General features: G+C 46.2%; 1 protein-coding gene and 1 long non-coding RNA gene across 8 annotated transcripts in view, besides 4 other annotated features; one reads left to right on the forward strand and one right to left on the reverse strand.

Annotated features, from left to right (window-relative positions):
• Positions 1–17,659, forward strand: part of THBS4 (thrombospondin 4) — a 91,956-nt gene extending 74,297 nt beyond the window's left edge. For 4 of the 7 annotated variants that reach the window (NM_001306213.2, NM_001306212.2, NM_003248.6 and 1 more), the window contains 13 exons: positions 2,345–2,497; positions 4,678–4,782; positions 5,015–5,122; positions 5,393–5,552; positions 6,650–6,768; positions 7,647–7,699; positions 11,227–11,420; positions 12,421–12,599; positions 13,293–13,341; positions 13,434–13,630; positions 14,277–14,449; positions 16,778–16,917; positions 17,452–17,659. In NM_001306213.2, the coding sequence (NP_001293142.1) occupies positions 2,345–2,497; positions 4,678–4,782; positions 5,015–5,122; positions 5,393–5,552; positions 6,650–6,768; positions 7,647–7,699; positions 11,227–11,420; positions 12,421–12,599; positions 13,293–13,341; positions 13,434–13,630; positions 14,277–14,449; positions 16,778–16,917; positions 17,452–17,513 (1,692 nt within the window). In that variant the 3' untranslated portion in view covers positions 17,514–17,659. The other 3 variants (XR_007058633.1, XM_047417678.1, XM_017009799.3) reach the window with 3 other exon arrangements.
• On the reverse strand, positions 721–18,037 carry THBS4-AS1 (THBS4 antisense RNA 1). Its single transcript, NR_109930.1, has 8 exons — positions 17,872–18,037; positions 16,732–16,909; positions 14,475–14,596; positions 6,880–7,037; positions 6,458–6,595; positions 6,104–6,263; positions 2,886–3,146; positions 721–2,253 (listed from the first exon to the last, which is right to left on the reverse strand). It is a non-coding gene; the product is annotated as a THBS4 antisense RNA 1 (long non-coding RNA).
• Positions 4,561–5,760: an enhancer, noted in NCBI's record as "BRD4-independent group 4 enhancer chr5:79366012-79367211 (GRCh37/hg19 assembly coordinates)". NCBI's record gives its function as "activates an origin of replication core promoter dependent on BRD2, P300/CBP, MED14 and CDK7 cofactors, and independent of BRD4, by STARR-seq in HCT116 cells {active_cell/tissue: HCT116}" and the evidence as "EXISTENCE:reporter gene assay evidence [ECO:0000049][PMID:35650434]".
• Positions 13,422–14,621: an enhancer, noted in NCBI's record as "MED14-independent group 3 enhancer chr5:79374873-79376072 (GRCh37/hg19 assembly coordinates)". NCBI's record gives its function as "activates an origin of replication core promoter dependent on BRD2, BRD4, P300/CBP and CDK7 cofactors, and independent of MED14, by STARR-seq in HCT116 cells {active_cell/tissue: HCT116}" and the evidence as "EXISTENCE:reporter gene assay evidence [ECO:0000049][PMID:35650434]".
• Positions 14,286–14,513: a silencer, noted in NCBI's record as "fragment chr5:79375737-79375964 (GRCh37/hg19 assembly coordinates)". NCBI's record gives its function as "represses an EF-1alpha promoter that drives an FKBP-Casp9 reporter gene in an ReSE screen in HepG2 liver carcinoma cells {active_cell/tissue: HepG2}" and the evidence as "EXISTENCE:reporter gene assay evidence [ECO:0000049][PMID:32094911]".
• Positions 17,346–17,435: a silencer, noted in NCBI's record as "silent region_16133". NCBI's record gives its function as "represses an Ori minimal core promoter by ATAC-STARR-seq in GM12878 lymphoblastoid cells {active_cell/tissue: GM12878}" and the evidence as "EXISTENCE:reporter gene assay evidence [ECO:0000049][PMID:35858748]".

Genomic DNA, 18,486 nt, shown 5'->3' on the forward strand with positions numbered 1-18,486 from the left:
TGTTTAATATGAGTAATTTTAAAAGTAATTTTTATGTAAGAATAATTTTATAAGTGCCAAGTTCTTTATTTTCTATCAAAGTTGCAATATTAGGCTATTAGATAACTATTTATTGAGTAAATAATTATTACTCCTGTATTTTAAAATTGTGAAGAGCTTGGTAGTTTATATTAATAGTTCAGTATTTTACTGGTGACTACACAATCCCCAAATGGCATTATTTATTTTCATAAAACTTTCAATCATGGGGTCAGGAGATCGAGACCATCCTGGCTAACATGGTTAAACCCCGTCTCTACTAAAAATAGAAAACAAAATTAGCCGGGCCTGGTGGCGGGTGCCTGTAGTCCCAGCTACTCTGGAGGCTGAAGCAGGAGAATGACATGAACCCGGCAGGCGGAGCTTGCAGTGAGCCGAGATCGCACCACTGCACTCCAGCCTGGGCGACAGAGCAAGACTCCCTCTCAAAAAAAAAAAAAAAAAAAAACTTTTCAAAACTTTTCATTGTATTAAATTAAAGTGCTTAGCACTTAGGGATGCCTATAACTTAAGTATTCAGATATGGGTTTTATTTCTGAAAGTTCCTGTCAAACTGTGTCCAAGATGAGAGATGTACCAGAGTTGACTATCAAGAAAAGAACTACTGATTACGTGTATGACTATTTGAAAGTTATCCAGCCTCTAGGTTCCTTGTTTCCTTGTAAGTAAAAACACTTTACATTTATCAAGTCACTTATTTTAATCCTCACAACAACCTCATAAACAGGGATTATTATTATCCCCATTTTACAATTGAAGAAACTGAGGGACAGAAATATTACATCATTAAGTCCAGGCATGGTGGAGCATGCCTATAGTCCCAGCTCCTCAGGAGGCTGAGGCCGAAGGATCATTTGGGTACAAGAGTAGTTTGAGGCTACAGTGAGCTGTGATCGCCACTGCACTCTAACCTGGGTGACAGAGGGAGACCCTGTCTCCAAAAAGAAAAAAAAGAAATGTTACGTATTTAGACTAAGGTCACACATCTTCCAGGTTGGCTACAGAGCCTGAGTTCTTCTCCGCAATGCTATATTGCTTAGGAATAGATGGGGATTTATTGCTTCTCAGCTTTTACCAGGACAAAGTAGTCTGCAAATAGATTTGCGAGATCTTGGTGTAAAGGTAATAACTGAGCCACCTAGAGAGAAGGAAAGTAGACAGTAAATAGAACTCCAGGAAACCCCAAAAACGAAGGACTAGGCCAAGGAAAAAGAGCAGAAGCCAGAAAAAGGAGCGAACTGATAGCACAGCCAGGGAGGCTGAAAGATCGAGACAAGTCATTGGAAAGCATGCATTGGATTTGGCAACTAAGAGGTTGTGAGTGACTTAAATCATTAAACAATATATATACTTCAAATGGATGTCTTTTACGACCTGTAAATGTTATGCCAATAAAACTGCATAAGATGAAAAAGATCTAATGTACAGCATGGTGACTGTAGTTAATAATACTATATTATATATATGAAATCTGCTAAGAGAGCAGATCTTAAGTGTTCTCACTGAAAAAGAAAAAAAGGAAGGTAACTATGTCAGTTGATGGATGTGTTACTTAACTGACTGTGGTAATCATTTCACAATGTATACGTATATCACATCATCACACTGCACACTTTAAATATATTCAGTTTTGTCAATTATACCTCAATAAAGATGAAAATTTTAATTTTCATTTTTTAAACATATTGTATAATATTTATTACATATATAGTGTGCAGTGTGATAATATATATTATATATATAAAAGCTAAAAAAACCTGGCCCCTGAAGTGTCATTGCAGCGGAGCTGACAGCTCATTTGTCAGTTTCTCAGCCTACCTCATCAGAAATTCTCAATGCAGGCCACCAGCATTTCTCTGTGCACCCATTCCTTTGTCATTCCATTGTAAAAGAGCCAAAGGAACAGCAATAAGAAAAATTAACTTGCTTTTTAAGCAGATCATCTCCCTGTCCCCAGAGTAAACTTCTCACACCACCTCCCAGGACTTCACTGGAACTTTTGACCTGTCCCCTATGCCCTCCACGGTGGCGCGGGCAACTCAGTGTCATTGGTTCACAGTCCAGCCTTCTTCCTTCACTTCTATTCCTTCTTTGTCTGAGTGGCCGGACGCAGCCTCCAGTCTGATGGTGTTTTCATCAACATTCACATGATCTTACATGTAAGCAAAGAAGAAGGCATGGATCTGATGCCTGATTCCTGCCAGCAATGAGTACCTGTGAAAATATACACAATAACTGTACCTTTGCTCAAACTGTACCTTTGCCCACAGCTTTCAGCTCATCACCTGATCTTTGTTCCTTGCAGGGATCTTACCGCTGTGGGCCTTGTAAGCCGGGGTATACTGGTGATCAGATAAGGGGATGCAAAGCGGAAAGAAACTGCAGAAACCCAGAGCTGAACCCTTGCAGTGTGAATGCCCAGTGCATTGAAGAGAGGCAGGGGGATGTGACATGTGTGGTAAGTTGTTTTTTGACTTCCTCTATCATTTTTCCTCTTCCATTTTTAACACCACCTCTCTCCAGTTTCTATGTGCTTCAGGGTAAAAGTACTCCAAAATGAAAGCATTGCAATTAAATGAGCATGGAGTGTAATAGGAACAGGGTCCACCGAGTTTGTGGGGAGCAGCCTGACATCCATCTAACCATCAGCTGCCTTTTCTCTCCCTCTTGGCTGGGGGGCAACCCTGTCCACTTGGGTACCTGGATGCCAGAGCCTCCGGTGAAGCCCCAGCTCCCAAGCACCTTCTATGGAAAGGCCCAGAAGCCAGCAGCAGGGAGGTGAAGGAACATTCTTCTCCCCTTTCCTTCTTCTGCCCCATCTACCTGCCTGTATAATGACAACATACCTGCTGTCATCTCTAACTGTCCTCATCCTTACAACTTCCAGAGTCTGTCTGCCTTGACGCTCCTGTTGGGGGTGGGCCATCGTGTAGAGGTGGGGACTGTCATAGTCCCTCCGGGAGAAACCTTCCGTCTTTGGCAGGTGACTGGCAGGGCCAGACGGCGCCATGCTGTATGTCTACCTCCACTCCAATCAGGGACAGCTCCATGAATGGTCACGCTTCCTGTGCATTCTCCAGCCACGGAGCTGGTCTGGGGAGGGGAGGCTGGGAAGAGAGTAGAGCAGTCACAGCAGGGCCTGACATGGGTCCCATGCTGAGCTTGTAGTGGGCCCTATGTGAAGGAGAGGGCATGCTCCTGCCATCCATTCCCAAATCCAAGGATCCAGAGTCCTCAGCCTGCCATCCATTCCCAAATCCAAGGATCCAGAGTCCTCAGCCTGCCATCCATTCCCAAGTCCAAGGATCCAGAGTCCTCAGCCTGCCATCCATTCCCAAATCCAAGGATCCAAAGTCCTGGGGATCCTAGGCACTGAAAAATCAGCAGACTTCAGCTGCCCCCCTCCTCTGCACTTCCTGGGATGCCAGGCCCTCGGCCGGTGGCCCGTCAGACTCTGGGGTCACTGGTTCACAGTGATCACCCCTGAGTAGCAAGATGGATTCTCGGAGCCCTTTTCCATCTTTATCTCAAAGTTATGCTTCTTTATCTTTATGCATACACAATTTTCCACAATGAGCCTACCACTTTTCAAATAGGAAAAATAAGAGTCAAAAATGAGTTAATAAATAAATATAATGAAGTCAGCCCTCCTTGGCAATACAGATATTCTGTAACAAGGTCAGATGGAAGAATGTGGTGTATCAGAGGGGGAATAACCCCAGCAATTTCCTGAATTCCTCATGGTTGGGCTTGTTTATTACCAAAAAGCAGTCATTGAGAAACAAGTGTATATCTCTGTTGAAATCCCCATTTTCTGTGAACAAATTGACAACTCCCCTGGGATGATGGGTGATGGGGCTCTTAATATGTTTTTGAATTTGTAATAAGGCACAACGACAGATGGTAAAGGATTAATAAACTTGGCGTGACTACTAAAATAATTGAATCTGCCAGAAAATAGCTCATTAAAAATGTATTTGTTCCTAGAGGACATTTTTTCCTCATTAAAGTGAGTCAAGGATCAGCCTCGTGGATCAGCCTTCCAGGCCTTCCAAAGGCCCTGCTGGGGCAAGTGAGCAGGAACCAGGAGCCCGGGAGGGTCTCTCTGGAGTTCTGCCTCCTAAATCCTGGTTGCAGAGGGAGAGCACAGATGATTGAGAATAAGCAGGCTGTGGCTGAGGAAGTCACTGGTCTGAAAGCTTTTGGGTGGTGAGGCCAGGAAATTTAACCTGTGCTCACATAAGTCTGATTTCCCTTGGCCCAGACTCTGCTCCTCAGACTCTCTCCCTCTTCCTTCCTTTACCTCCCGTCCCAGGTCAGCTTTCTCTCCCTCTGCGTTTCCAGTTCCCTGTGACCTTCTGGGTCCCCTCCTCCCATCTCCCTTCTGCTGCTCTGCCTGTTCCTGGAAGTGGGAGTGGGAGGGAGAGTTTTCTCTCTGAGTCTCCCTTTATATCTTTGAATAGTGAACCATTACACTATTCAAGTGCAATTAAATAGTTTCTAAGCCCCACCCAACAAGGCTGAGTGACTCTGGGCCCTCCCCCTGGGATTGAGCAAAGGAGCAGAGAGGCCCTTGTCAGCCACCAGCTTCCTGCCAGGCTCAGCTTCCCAGGCCTCTGATGGGCTTTCCCTTTACAGTGTGGAGTCGGTTGGGCTGGAGATGGCTATATCTGTGGAAAGGATGTGGACATCGACAGTTACCCCGACGAAGAACTGCCATGCTCTGCCAGGAACTGTAAAAAGGTAAGGGGTGTGGGGTGGCAGTAGGCACACATGCACTGTGGCTTTCCAAAGTCACATCTTCTATGGGGAGAGGTTCTGTGGATCTAATTTAAAATTGTACTTGTAAAGTAGCTGCATCTCAGAGGAAGTGAAACAGCCACCAACAATAAAGCCACAGTGTCTTGAGGTCAGAAACAGTTACTGGCTTAACACAAATGTAGGATGTCACTCGGAACTGCATTTTCCCCCTAAGGACAACTGCAAATATGTGCCAAATTCTGGCCAAGAAGATGCAGACAGAGATGGCATTGGCGACGCTTGTGACGAGGATGCTGACGGAGATGGGATCCTGAATGAGCAGGTACCTGCTTCGCTGGGAGGGCCTGTGAATTGCCACGTACCAGGGATGATGGGAGAAAGCCTGTGATGTCAACTATGTATATGAATCATCCCAAATGTTAGTTTCCATGCCTGCATTCCACAGCACTGCAGCTTTTTACCCTATAAGATTCACAGATGTTTGAAATATAAAACTGACAAACTTGGGCCACCAGAGTGCTGATGCTTCACAACAATGGAGGAAGTGGATTTAGTAAAAGTCTGAGTGATGTTCTGTCCTTTCATCTTTTAGGATAACTGTGTCCTGATTCATAATGTGGACCAAAGGAACAGCGATAAAGATATCTTTGGGGATGCCTGTGATAACTGCCTGAGTGTCTTAAATAACGACCAGAAAGACACCGATGGGGATGGAAGAGGAGATGCCTGTGATGATGACATGGATGGAGATGGTAGATTTATCTTGCTTTTGTCTTTTATTTGGAATTCAGTTGACCTTGTTCCATTGTTCTCTGAGAGAGTAGGAATAGAATGACTGATTCGGAGCCTTCCAGCTGTGGGTGGCTCATTGTGGCCTGCATCTGGAAGACCCAAGGTGGACTTGTGTCTATGGAAGGAGACCCCACAGCCCACTCCACTACCTAATGGCTCTGGATGTTTCCAGGACTCTGTATCATTGCCAGAAACTTTGTATGACCCCTTCAAGCAGTGTCTTGTCAGAGTGTGTCTTTATGGGGTATCTCCCTTCCCATTTCTACCTGTCCTCACTCTCCACTATCCTTTCTACATGTGAGAGACCCAGAAGTGGAGAACTGAATGAGAAGGCATTGAGCAGGGTCACAGACTATGCATCACAGGCTACACATCCCATTGTGGGCCCTTGAAGGAAAAACCTTTTTGAAATACCACCTGCCCCAACACACACATACACACACACACACACACACACACACACACATACACCACTCCAGAACATGCACACCCCCCTAAAACATGACCTCACCTTCTGCAAGCCTAACTGATGACCCATTTCCAGTGGTATATGCTGGTAAGCAAATCACAGAAAGCCCTAGTTGGTAGCATTTTCCAGTTTCCATGATGTAACTCCGCATTGTCCTCATTGCTGATTTCAAGCTACCAATGTGACATCATCAAACACAAAACTGAAAAGAGAGGGACACAATGGACCCAGCTCCAGCACAACACTGCCTAGAGCCCTAGGGTCTCAGTCATAGCTCAGATACCCACGAGATCCTCCCTCTCCAGGGTCAGCCATACAGCCATCATGATCCCCTCCTCGTGGTTGCTATCATAGCCCTTGACATCTTGGACAAATTAGAATTCAGTCGATAAATACCTCTGAGAGCTGTTCATTTTTAAGTCTCCCAGAATCCGTCCTTTGAAGCTACCTCTGGATAACTGCAGAAAAGGGTAGTCTCTGTGTGACACTGGCCCAGGCAGAAGTGACTCACCATGCGCCTGATCTCTCCAGCACCTAGAAGAAGTCAGTGACATTCCCCTGACTCAAGGTAGCATTTCTTTCTCACAGGAATAAAAAACATTCTGGACAACTGCCCAAAATTTCCCAATCGTGACCAACGGGACAAGGATGGTGATGGTGTGGGGGATGCCTGTGACAGTTGTCCTGATGTCAGCAACCCTAACCAGGTTAGTAGGATACTGGGGAATTCAAACTCCAGGCTGAATTCCTCTATGCAAAGACTCATTTAAGACGGGTGTCTAGAAAAACAGCAGAGCCTCTTAGCTGTTGCCACTTACCTAACAAAGCAGAGGTGGAAAAATGACACACTGTGGGCCTGAAGATGGTGGGATGAACACCACACAAGATCTGAAGCCCTAGGGACTATCTCCCAGGCTGTCGATTGCCTGTGAGGTTAGTAACACGAACTTCATGATGCTCAATACAAGTATTTTTCCTGCAGAAAGGAAAACGGAGCATGGAAATTAACCATTGGGAGCCTTGTGTCCCTTTAGTCCCTAAACCCCTACACAGCCTATGTATGGACATTTCAGATTAAGTTCAGCCAGGGATGTGTTGCATCTCCCTTCTCACTCCTCCTCCCTGTCTGGATAATTGGGTATGATGTGTCATTTATTTTTAAAGCCCTGAGAGAGGGGAGTCATGGTTGCCCTCTGTGACTCACTCATGATTTTGGCCAAATTGCAAATTGCAGAAGCAAAGCAAAATCAACCTGCCTTCTCCCCATGCCTATGGCTGGCTCCCTGTGACCCGTGCCAGAGTTCCATGCCTCCACCTGCCACCATGCTACCCCAGCGCCCCTTTCCAATCAGCTCATCTGGTGTGTGGGCAGCCCATCCATGTAGCTTGATATTTTAGAAGGCTTTTTTGAAAATTCAGCATTGTGCCTACACCAATATGGTGTTGTCCTTTTGCAGTTTTGCACCACCCCGGTTCCAGAGAAATAATTCCCCAAATCCAATGATGATGGGTGAGGTCTGCCTTCTCTGGAACATTCGGTACATGCAGGCCCAGGAATAAATAACATGTGCTGTTCTCTTTGCAGTCTGATGTGGATAATGATCTGGTTGGGGACTCCTGTGACACCAATCAGGACAGGTATGGCATGTCTCCCAACTGCAGAGAGACAGATGCAAACATCCGGAGAGGGTTTTTGGTTTGTTTTTTTTTTTGAGGCGGAGTCTCACTCTATCACCCAGGCTGGAGTACAGTGGTGCAATCTCGGCTCACTGCAAGCTCCGATTCCCAGGTTTATGCCATTCTTCTGCCTCAGCCTCCCAAGTAGCTGGGACTACAGGCGCCCGCTACCATGCCTGGCTAATTTTTTTGTATTTTCAGTAGAGACGGGGTTTCACCATGTTAGCCAGGATGGTCTCGATCTCCTGACCTTGTGATCTGCCCGCCTCGGCCTCCCAAAGTGCTGGGATTACAGGCGTGAGCCACTGTGCCCAGCCCGGAGAGGGTTTTAAATTTCAGAACTTCCTGCTGCTCCATTCCTTGGGATCTTTCTGGGTGGACTGAGCTGCTGGTGGGATAATAGCCCTGCCTCTGGTCAGAATTACCATGAAAATTCTCCCTGAAAGTTCTGTATAGGGTATAACGGTGTCAGAATAGGTTACTAGGCACTCCAGCAAGTGAGATCTATTTCAGGAGAGGTAATATAGCATCATGCTTCACAGATGGGCTCTGGAATAAGACAGCTAGATATAAATTTCAGCTCCTTCTCTTACATGCCAGCTAACCTTAGGCAAATTACCTAATACTTTTGCCTCAATTTTCTCATCTGTAAAATGAGGATGACAATAGATCTAGCTCATAGGACCATCGTGAAGATTGAGTTGATCCATGGAAAGTGCTCATTATGGTTTCTGTTATATACATAGCACTCAATAGACATTAGCTCTTTTATTTTTATATTCTTTCAGCTCAGGAAAACTTCACCATCATCCCAAAATAGAAGGCTGTCAGTTTGCTGAGGGATTGCTATTATTTCCTGGTCCTTGAAATTTTTTTAATTCAGTTTTCCTTATTTAAGTGGAATTGTTCTGTGGAAGTGAGTTTTGTGAACCCTCCTAGCTCAACACGATGGAGTCCCACATTAAGACTCAAGGCTGGATCAACTGATCAGATTCTGGAAGAACATCACCAAAAACAGACGTGTGTCACTCAGCCCTAGCGGCACCTGCAACCCAAGGTTCTAAACCCTTTTGTCTCCATAGGGAATTCTTACAAAGGCAGCCAGGACAAGGATGAGAGGGAAAGGATTCTAAAAGAGAAAGCAAAAAAAGATGCAATTTCTCTCCTGATACCTGGATCAGAGGTTGCCCTGCAGAAAACCAGTTCCTGACCCAAACCTTACTCAAGGACAGCTCCTATGAAGCCACAGCTCTCTCTCTCTTTTTTTTTTTTTTTGAGATGGAGTCTTGCTCTGTCACCCAGGCTGGCGTGATCTCGGCTCACTGCAACCTCCACCTCCTGGGTTCAAGCAATTCTCATGCCTCAGACTCCCACGTACCTGGGATTACAGGTGTGTGCCACCATGCTGGCTAATTTTTGTATTTTTAGTAGAGACAGAGTTTCACCATGTTGGCCAGGCTGGTCTCGAACTCCTGGCCTCAAGTGATCCACCTGCCTCATCCTCCCAAAGTGTGCATCTCTTTCATTATGCTCTGTGTCCTTGCTGCAAAGTACATATAGTCATCCCTCAGTGTCCCAGGGTATTGGTCCCAGGATACCCCTCTGCCCCCAGGATACCAAAATCCTCAAATACTCAAGTCCCTTATATAAAATGATGTAATATCTGCATATAACCTATACCTGTCCTCCTATATGCTTTAAAAATCCTCTCTAGATTACTTAATACCTAATACAATGTAAATGCTAGGTAAATAGTTATTATACTGCATTGGTTTCTTATTTGTATTTTTTTGGTGTTATTTTTTATTGTTCTTTTTCAAATCTTTTCAATCCTCAGTTGGTTGAATCTGCGGATACGGAACCGCGGATACAGAGGCCTGACTGTACTAGCTAAGTGAACTTAAACATATTTCCCAGTCTCTTCACATCTCAACTTCTTCATCTGCAAAGAGGAGATAAATAAATGCATCGCACAGGTTATGGTGAAAAATCAAGATAATGTAGGTAAAGCTCCCGGCACAGTGCTGGCCCAAGGGTGACATGCAGAAAACAGGGGCCGTGTTATTATTGGTATCACAGTACAAGGAAAGGCACATCAGCAACAGAGCCTGACATCAGATGTCCCTCTCCTCTTCCGAGAGGAAGGTGGGACTGTATCCTGACAACTGCCCTAAATGATGTGCGTCAAGAATGTTCCCTGGTGCAGGTCATCTTGCACTCTGACTACTATCTACATTAATTTCTAAAATATCCTGTCCCACCAGCCTCTAGATATTTGCCCAAAACAAATGACTCATTCTGCTATGTTTTAATTCCCACAAAGTTGAACCTTGGAGAAGAGGATAGGAACTGCTTGTTTTTGCATAAAAATGTTCAGGGCTACATAGAACGGCTGCTAATGGAAATAGCTCAGTCTTGTGTTTTATAAAGCAGACCTGCTGCATGCACAGGGATTCTGCTGTTTGAGCCACATCATTTTCTGCTTGTCAAGGCTGACTTCACTTTCACTGGACCCTTTCTGTCCCCCTGTACCATGTGGTAGGTGTGGCCCTAGAGCATGGTCTGGTCCCTGGCTTCCCTCTCCAAAAGGGTGCAGGGGCAGCTCCTGGCCCAGGACAGGCCGCAGGTGGACCAGGTCTAAAGGAGTGCTCATTCTTTTCCAGAGTAACCATGAGAGGTCTCAGACTCCAGGACACCTCTTGGAGGCAGGGCAGACTCATCTTCAGGTGGCCCCTCAGCCCAGAAAGTCAGGTGGACAGAGAAGGAGAGTTCTGAGAAGTCCTTTAGACCAGCACTGAGCCCGGCCTACACACTCTCCTCGAGAAGGCGTGGCCCTGTTCACTTTGCCCTTCTCCCCATGGCGTTCAGGTCTGAATCCTCATTGGATCCACTAGCCAGGGATTGTGAAGAGTAATATAACGGAAAACACTGTAGGGCTTCCTAAGAGTCAGCACTTTTTCATATATTGAAATTTAATATGCAACATTCTGATTTTCATCATTTAATCTCCATAACAACTCTATGAGGTAGGTACTATTCTCATTTTACAGATGAGGACACTGAGCCATAGAGAGGTCAGGTGTCATGCCTGAGGTCACACGCTGGGCACAGTGGCTGAGCCAGGATTTACACTGAGGCTGTCTGGTTCCACTGCCTGTCATTGTTCCCCTCACACATCCTCTGAGTTGAGTATCATCTAGCAGTTCCCAGGGACTGACTGATAGGAGCATCTGGTCATAAATCATAGAAATAGACCCTTATCTTCTTTAGTAGGAAATGACTCACTTGTTTTAAGAGGTTGGGGATGGGAAAATTGTCTCTGAGGCCCATAGGGCAGCCTTATCTAAGGGAATGACCCCAGTGGGTTTGATTTTAAGAGCCAACCCTGGTTTAAAAAAAACCTCAAGCACAGACTCTCCTTCCTAAAAATGGATCCTTCCTGTTCCCTGCTGAACTGTGAGCCACATCACCTGTCCTTTCTCCTGCAGTGATGGAGATGGGCACCAGGACAGCACAGACAACTGCCCCACCGTCATTAACAGTGCCCAGCTGGACACCGATAAGGATGGAATTGGTGACGAGTGTGATGATGATGATGACAATGATGGTATCCCAGACCTGGTGCCCCCTGGACCAGACAACTGCCGGCTGGTCCCCAACCCAGCCCAGGAGGATAGCAACAGTAAGCAGGCTCAGCCCAGAGCTGCACAGCACCCCTGGGCTCCCTTCAGCCAGGCACATGGGGGCACGCCTCTCTCCAGGCACCAACTCAGAATATCCCCAGCTCCCATCAGCTGCTTCTCTACACCCAGCTTCTCTGCATAGCTGCAGCTTGTGTGGACAGCAGATATCTGGTAGACACCAGTCTCCAACTCAGTCAGGACTGAGCTGCTTTGCATCTTCCTGAACAACCCTAGGATGCCATCACACAGGTCAGGGAAGCAGCCACACACTGTGGCTCAGTCCCCAAAGGGCTTGGAGAGCTGCTCCACCATCTTACCTGTCACCTGCCACCTTCCACTGGGAGTCCCAGAAAAGGAGCAGGATAGAGAGAATGGCACAGTAGAAGTGGTATATGCTGGGTTCACAAACACAGATGCCTGCAGGTGCCAGGCAGATAAGAAAATGTCTGCACCAAGCCAGACATGAGACAGCAGGGAGTGTTGGGGACTGAAGTGACCTGGAGAGGGCATGCCCATCCACAGCAGTGCACATGCAAAAATGCCAGCACGTTAGCTGAACAACACACACGTGGGGGCCACCAGAAGTTAGTGTTAGAGATATTCTGGTAACAATAATTTCCCTGTTTTCTACACATTACAGTCCAGAAAGTGCTGTAGACATTTGCTTATGTGAGGTCAAGCTTAAGATCCACCAGTTGGTGAACTCAACTGTAGGTAATAAGAACTTCTTGAGGACAGAGTGGAGGGCAACTGCTCAAATTGATCTTTCAAAAAACTCTGGGAGGACTGGCCTGGTCACCCAGTACAAGGACTCCAGAATGGGGCCTGGCACCAGCTCAGACATGTCCCCAGGGCTCCTCTCCCAACACTGATGGGAAATCATGGCCCTGGTTGTGGGAGCTTGAGCCCTTCTGTTCCTCATGCAGCCCCCTTCCCTGCCAAGGAGTGGCGGTGGGTGTGAGCGCTATTGAGCTCCTGTCCTTTCTCCACCCCACTCAGGCGACGGAGTGGGAGACATCTGTGAGTCTGACTTTGACCAGGACCAGGTCATCGATCGGATCGACGTCTGCCCAGAGAACGCAGAGGTCACCCTGACCGACTTCAGGGCTTACCAGACCGTGGTCCTGGATCCTGAAGGGGATGCCCAGATCGATCCCAACTGGGTGGTCCTGAACCAGGTGAGTGTCACATGGGCGGCAATGGCTCAGCCTTGCCTCTCAACAGAGGCCCTTCTGATAGTGGTAGGTCATGTTTAGAGGGTGCAGACAATAAGCCAGGCATTCTTCACATTCGCTCTTATTCCTCAACAGCCCTATGACAGACTACTTCAATTATGCCCATTTTACAGAGGATGAAATTGTCTGCTACAGCTTTCATGATTGTAGCAGCTTTAATGATGGTAGCACTGTGGTAAGTAGCTGAGATGACTGGAATTGGGACCCAGGCAGTCTGACCCTAGAACCCACACTTCTGATCTCTGCAGCAGACTGCCTTCTGCATATCCTCCTCATTGTGTAACTAAGAAGTGCAGGCACAGAGAGGCTTAGTAGATTTTCCAGAGTCACAGAGCAAGTCACATTGATTAGAAGTATATGTTGTATGCTCCCCAGTTAAGGGCCTGTCCAATCAGCTTAAGTGACAGTCTCAGCAAACTTATTTCTATTCAGCTTTGAGCTTTTTTTTAACCTTTACAAGCACATGCTTTCTTTGAGCACATAACACAATAGAGCAACTATTTCAGATAATGAAATCTTTATATGGAGGTCAGACATCACTGGCCACTCACTCATATGGTGCCTGAGGTTTTGAGCTTCCTTAAGGTTACTTGGCCCCTTCAAGACTGTTCTGAACTCCCTCAACTCTCTCTGCAGGGCATGGAGATTGTACAGACCATGAACAGTGATCCTGGCCTGGCAGTGGGTATGTCCAGGGCCTCAGTTGCCACTCACATAGAATTCTTCCAGCTACTAGTGTGGTTTGTCTATTGTTCTAATCTTATCTGGTCCCTACAGGGTACACAGCTTTTAATGGAGTTGACTTCGAAGGGACCTTCCATGTGAATACCCAGACAGATGATGACTATGCAGGCTTTATCTTTGGCTACCAAGATAGCTCCAGCTTCTACGTGGTCATGTGGAAGCAGACGGAGCAGACATATTGGCAAGCCACCCCATTCCGAGCAGTTGCAGAACCTGGCATTCAGCTCAAGGTATTGGTGGTTTGAAGTCATTCATCTCCCTTTCTTCTGGACCTCTCATCTTTTTTCAGATATTGTGTTTTCCCATGTGGTACTTAGTTAATCTAAAAAAAATTGATGCATTTATGCTAACGTTAGAGTCAGGGAAGACTACAGTTGACCCTTGCCTTCATTCCTGTGTGCCAGCTACATTCTAACCTCTCATGGTGGGAATCCCAGCCTACATGAGGTCAGAGAGAGGGAAGGTTTAGAGTGCATCTTCAGGCACACTGTGTTGGAAACTGGCTAATAAATTTCATCGATAGGTCCAACTTTGTACAGGAGGGCTGATGGGCTACTTCTGTCACTCCTGCTAGGACACAAGGCTGACTTAAGTAGCCAGACGTTTGATAGGAGCCCTCATTGGGCAAATGTAGGGAGCAATGGATGTGCAGCAGGAACAAACATGGAATGTGTAATGGAATACTGGGCAAGGCTTAGTAGTAAAAGGTTGGGGTCACCTCCATAGAAATGACATTTAAGTGTTTATGCTTTGTTCTGAATCCAAGGCAGCCGGATTATAACCATGACTATAACCTGGATCATCACTTCAGATCCAGGAAGCAGGAAGGGTGGTGCCTGTGTCCTGTCCTAAAACCTTGCTTGTGTCATCATGCAGGCTGTGAAGTCTAAGACAGGTCCAGGGGAGCATCTCCGGAACTCCCTGTGGCACACGGGGGACACCAGTGACCAGGTCAGGCTGCTGTGGAAGGACTCCAGGAATGTGGGCTGGAAGGACAAGGTGTCCTACCGCTGGTTCCTACAGCACAGGCCCCAGGTGGGCTACATCAGGTAGGTAGAGGCCCCATCTCCTTACCTTGCTCTAGAAGCAAAGCATTCTCCGTTCTGCATCCCAGAGCCTTCATTTCCCTGAGCAATTCTGACCTAGGATAGTCCCCAAGGACATGCCAGGACTTTTGTGACCGCAGGATGGGGAACCTAGAAAAGAGGTGGGAGAGAAGATATTCAGGGTCAGACCACCCGGACAGGACAGTAGGACCAAGATGGGGATAGAAGGAGCAGAGCTGAGGGGACGACCCAGCGTTGTGGGGTTGGTGCATTTGGATGGCTGTGCCCTTCTGCCATGCTCTGCAGAGAAGCCTGAGGGTGGACATGCCAATCGGTATGAGGTAAGAGGTGTGGCAGGGTCTCTTCTCCACACCCTCCCCTGTGGCACCTCTGGGCCCTGTGTAATCACTTACTAGTGCACATTTCACCCTGACTGCAGCACTATGTCCCTTACAGTCTGTCTTCCCTGCTGGATCACAAACTGCATGAGAGCAGCGCTTGTATCTTTTTTTTTTTTTTTTTTTTTTTTTGGAGACGGAATCCCACTCTGTTGCCAGGCAGGAGTACTGTGGCGTGATCTCAGCTCACTGCAACCTCCGCCTTCCTGGTTCAAGTGATTCTTCTGCCTCAGCCTCCCGAGTAGCTGGGATTACAGGCACGCGCCATCACGCCAGGCTAATTTTTGTATTTTTAGTAGAGATGGGGTTTCACCATGCTGGCCAGGCTGGTCTTGATCTCCTGACCTCGTGATCCACCCGCCTCGGCCTCCCAAAGTGCTGGGATTACAGGCATGGGCCACTGTGCCTAGCCATAGCTTATTATTTTATCTTGATCTCCCCAGTGCCTAGCACAAAGCCTGACATCTACTACACGTGGCATGAACTGATCATCATGTAGGCCAAAGTAGTCTGACTTCTTTCTTTATAGGACTTTTTTGTTGTTGTTTTTTAAGTATTCTCGGGAGTTAGGAGGCTTAGGGCTGTGTCTTTGAAATGTAGATAGTGTTCTTCTTCATTTGAACTTGCAGATCAACACCCATCCTAGCCTATGTAGGATATTTAGGAAGGAGTACTGAGTGCATTCTCCTCATCAGGGCAGGAAAGCAGCCTTGTGGAAAAAAGAAAATCATGAGGGCAAATTCATGTTTTGTTTCTCTTTGTGACATTATGTCAAATGTACTCTTTTTGTCTCACAGTGAGATGATCATGTTCTCAGCCCTATTAAGCCCAATGCCCCTTTTTTATTATAAATATTTTGAAATGCCCCCTTTTCCGTCCCAAAATGGAATCATAGAAATTACAACCTACCTACACGTATAATCTAGAAAATCAATGTGAGCCCTAACAATATCATAGAGAAATAAGAATAATTTATAACAAAATAATTTAAATATTTGAGCACAGCCACACCAGAAGACAAAATGAAACAGACACTTGCACCCATGCCTAGAATCACTACGAAGGTGACATTCTAACAGACTGTTGTGTCAGTGACTTAAATGTTTGTTACACTGGTTGATGACAGCAATGTAAATTTCTCAAATGGTACACATTTTAGAATGTTAATTTTCAAACAAATTTTCTCAATTTACCCTGGAAAATATAGTTTATATTAAAATTTGTGCAAAATATACTTGCTGTTTACAAGTGAAAGTGAGTCAGGTTCTAGGCCCTGATAGTTGCTCTTTACCTACCCTGGTGTCTGAGGAACACTCCAGAAGTGTATGGAATGCAGGACAGGTTTTGATTGTTCTCGCCAGGGCATTGCTCGCCATCCAGCATCCCTGGCTGCCATCACTCAGTGCCACTGTGACAACCCAAAGTGTCCCCACAGATTCCTCCAACTCTACTTAGGGAGTGCTGTCTCCTGTGGAGAATCATTGCTCTGAGATTCCACCAAAAGATATAAATCAGACCAAAGGAAAAGCCAAAGTTTTTAAGCATGGTATCTAGACAAGGCAACTCACATGACAATAAGACACAAAACTTTCTCACTCAAGATAGCAGGTTTGGTTTGGTTTGATTTTTAACTCAAGTTTGATAGTGTGACCAACATCATGTTAGGCCTTGTGAGAGACAGAAGTTGGGAAGAAACACCCCCCACCCCCCTCCACACACACACGGACACACACGGTCCCTGCCCTCAAGGACTTCCAGTCTAGTAAGTAAGTGGCAACAGCTACAGTACAATCCAGGTCAGCGAAAAATGGAGCCTAAAACAGAGCAAAGAAAGACGCAGGTACGTATAAGAAGTGGGGCCCCTGGGCCTCACAGTGGGCACTTTACCCCGGGTTGGATTTCATGGAGGCCCCTCCGGCCGTGTTGTCCGCAGGGTACGATTTTATGAAGGCTCTGAGTTGGTGGCTGACTCTGGCGTCACCATAGACACCACAATGCGTGGAGGCCGACTTGGCGTTTTCTGCTTCTCTCAAGAAAACATCATCTGGTCCAACCTCAAGTATCGCTGCAATGGTAATGTGCATTCTCGTTACTGTTCAACATTGTTACTAGAATTAGTCAAACACTGCCACCTTATTTTTATACCGCACTTCCCCCCCAAAAGCCCAACGCTCATACCACATAGTCATTAAAACCTGATAGTCCCTGTGTACCAGAAGTAAAAAGCAGATCACATTTATCCTATTTTATCCATGTGGAAATTAAGACCCATAGAATTTAACTGCATGGTTTAGGGTTTGGGGTTCAGTGAGAAATCCAGTCAGATTTAATTTACAGGAAGCCTTTATTTTCATGTGGTTAAAACATAATCACAGATGCAAAATCCATTCTGCCTGCTGATTTTCTGCACGGCCGGGAAGGAGCACTCCTGGGCTTTAAGCCAACGGTTTGCAAAGCAGCCTGCAGGAGAAAATGGCGGCGAGGGCCTGCGGGGCGTCCTGGGCGGGCTAACAGCGCCCCCTACAGGACGCCTGAGCCGCGGGCGGGGGTCCGGGGTCCGGGGTGGAAGGAGCCTCGCTAACCTCCCTGTGCCCATTCCTATTGCAGACACCATCCCTGAGGACTTCCAAGAGTTTCAAACCCAGAATTTCGACCGCTTCGATAATTAAACCAAGGAAGCAATCTGTAACTGCTTTTCGGAACACTAAAACCATATATATTTTAACTTCAATTTTCTTTAGCTTTTACCAACCCAAATATATCAAAACGTTTTATGTGAATGTGGCAATAAAGGAGAAGAGATCATTTTTAAAAACCGTGTTGCTCAGACATTGCTCTCACGTGGCTCAGGCTTTGAGGTGCCCGTTCTCGGAGGGATCCCTGTTAACTTGCAGGGTGGTAGTTTCTTCTCAGACCCGGTGGCCGATAAGATGAGCCTATGCGTGAATCACAAGGCCCAGGCCAGAGGTCTCAGCTGGGGTCCCCCCAGTTTGCTCCATACAAAACGCCTAACCGTTCCATGCTCACCTTGGCAGCCTCCTTATTTCGGGTAAGGGGTCTCAGAAACACGTGTTTGGGGTGGCACCTTCCCTAGGGAGGCGTTTTTCTGACCTAGTCCTGGGACAGATTTGCCCAATTCTTTCTGATGCTGTCATCCCATCCCACACCTTCCACAGACTTCTATTCTGGCCCCTTCAACGTAATTCTTAAGCTTATTTATATATTTGGCTCCCCCTAGTGGACTGTAAGCATATTGACAATAAAGGATCATGTCATTACAATCAATATCCCCACAGTACCTGGAATGTAGTAAATAGCCAGTAAATGTTTACTGAATTAATAAACGAAGAATGAATGAATGAATGCCTCTTAAAGGACAGTAGAGTGTACATGATCATAAAAGTCCTCCTCAACTCAAAAAGTCACAACATATCCTCTATTTGTGGTACCAGTAGCTGGATGTACAGCACAGAAACTTGCCTAATTTGTACACTAGCCTTTCTTGTATTTCAATTGTAAATCAAGATCCAAGCAAATTTTTATAAATTCTCTAGAAATTTTGTTTCAAAGAATATTGCTGTGCGGTTATATATTTTCTTATTCCAGAATTCCTAGAGATATATTAAATCATGTATGAAGAAA

The sequence above is a fragment of the Homo sapiens genome, chromosome 5, assembly GCF_000001405.40.
Source record: "Homo sapiens chromosome 5, GRCh38.p14 Primary Assembly".
Taxonomy (NCBI): domain Eukaryota; kingdom Metazoa; phylum Chordata; class Mammalia; order Primates; family Hominidae; genus Homo; species Homo sapiens.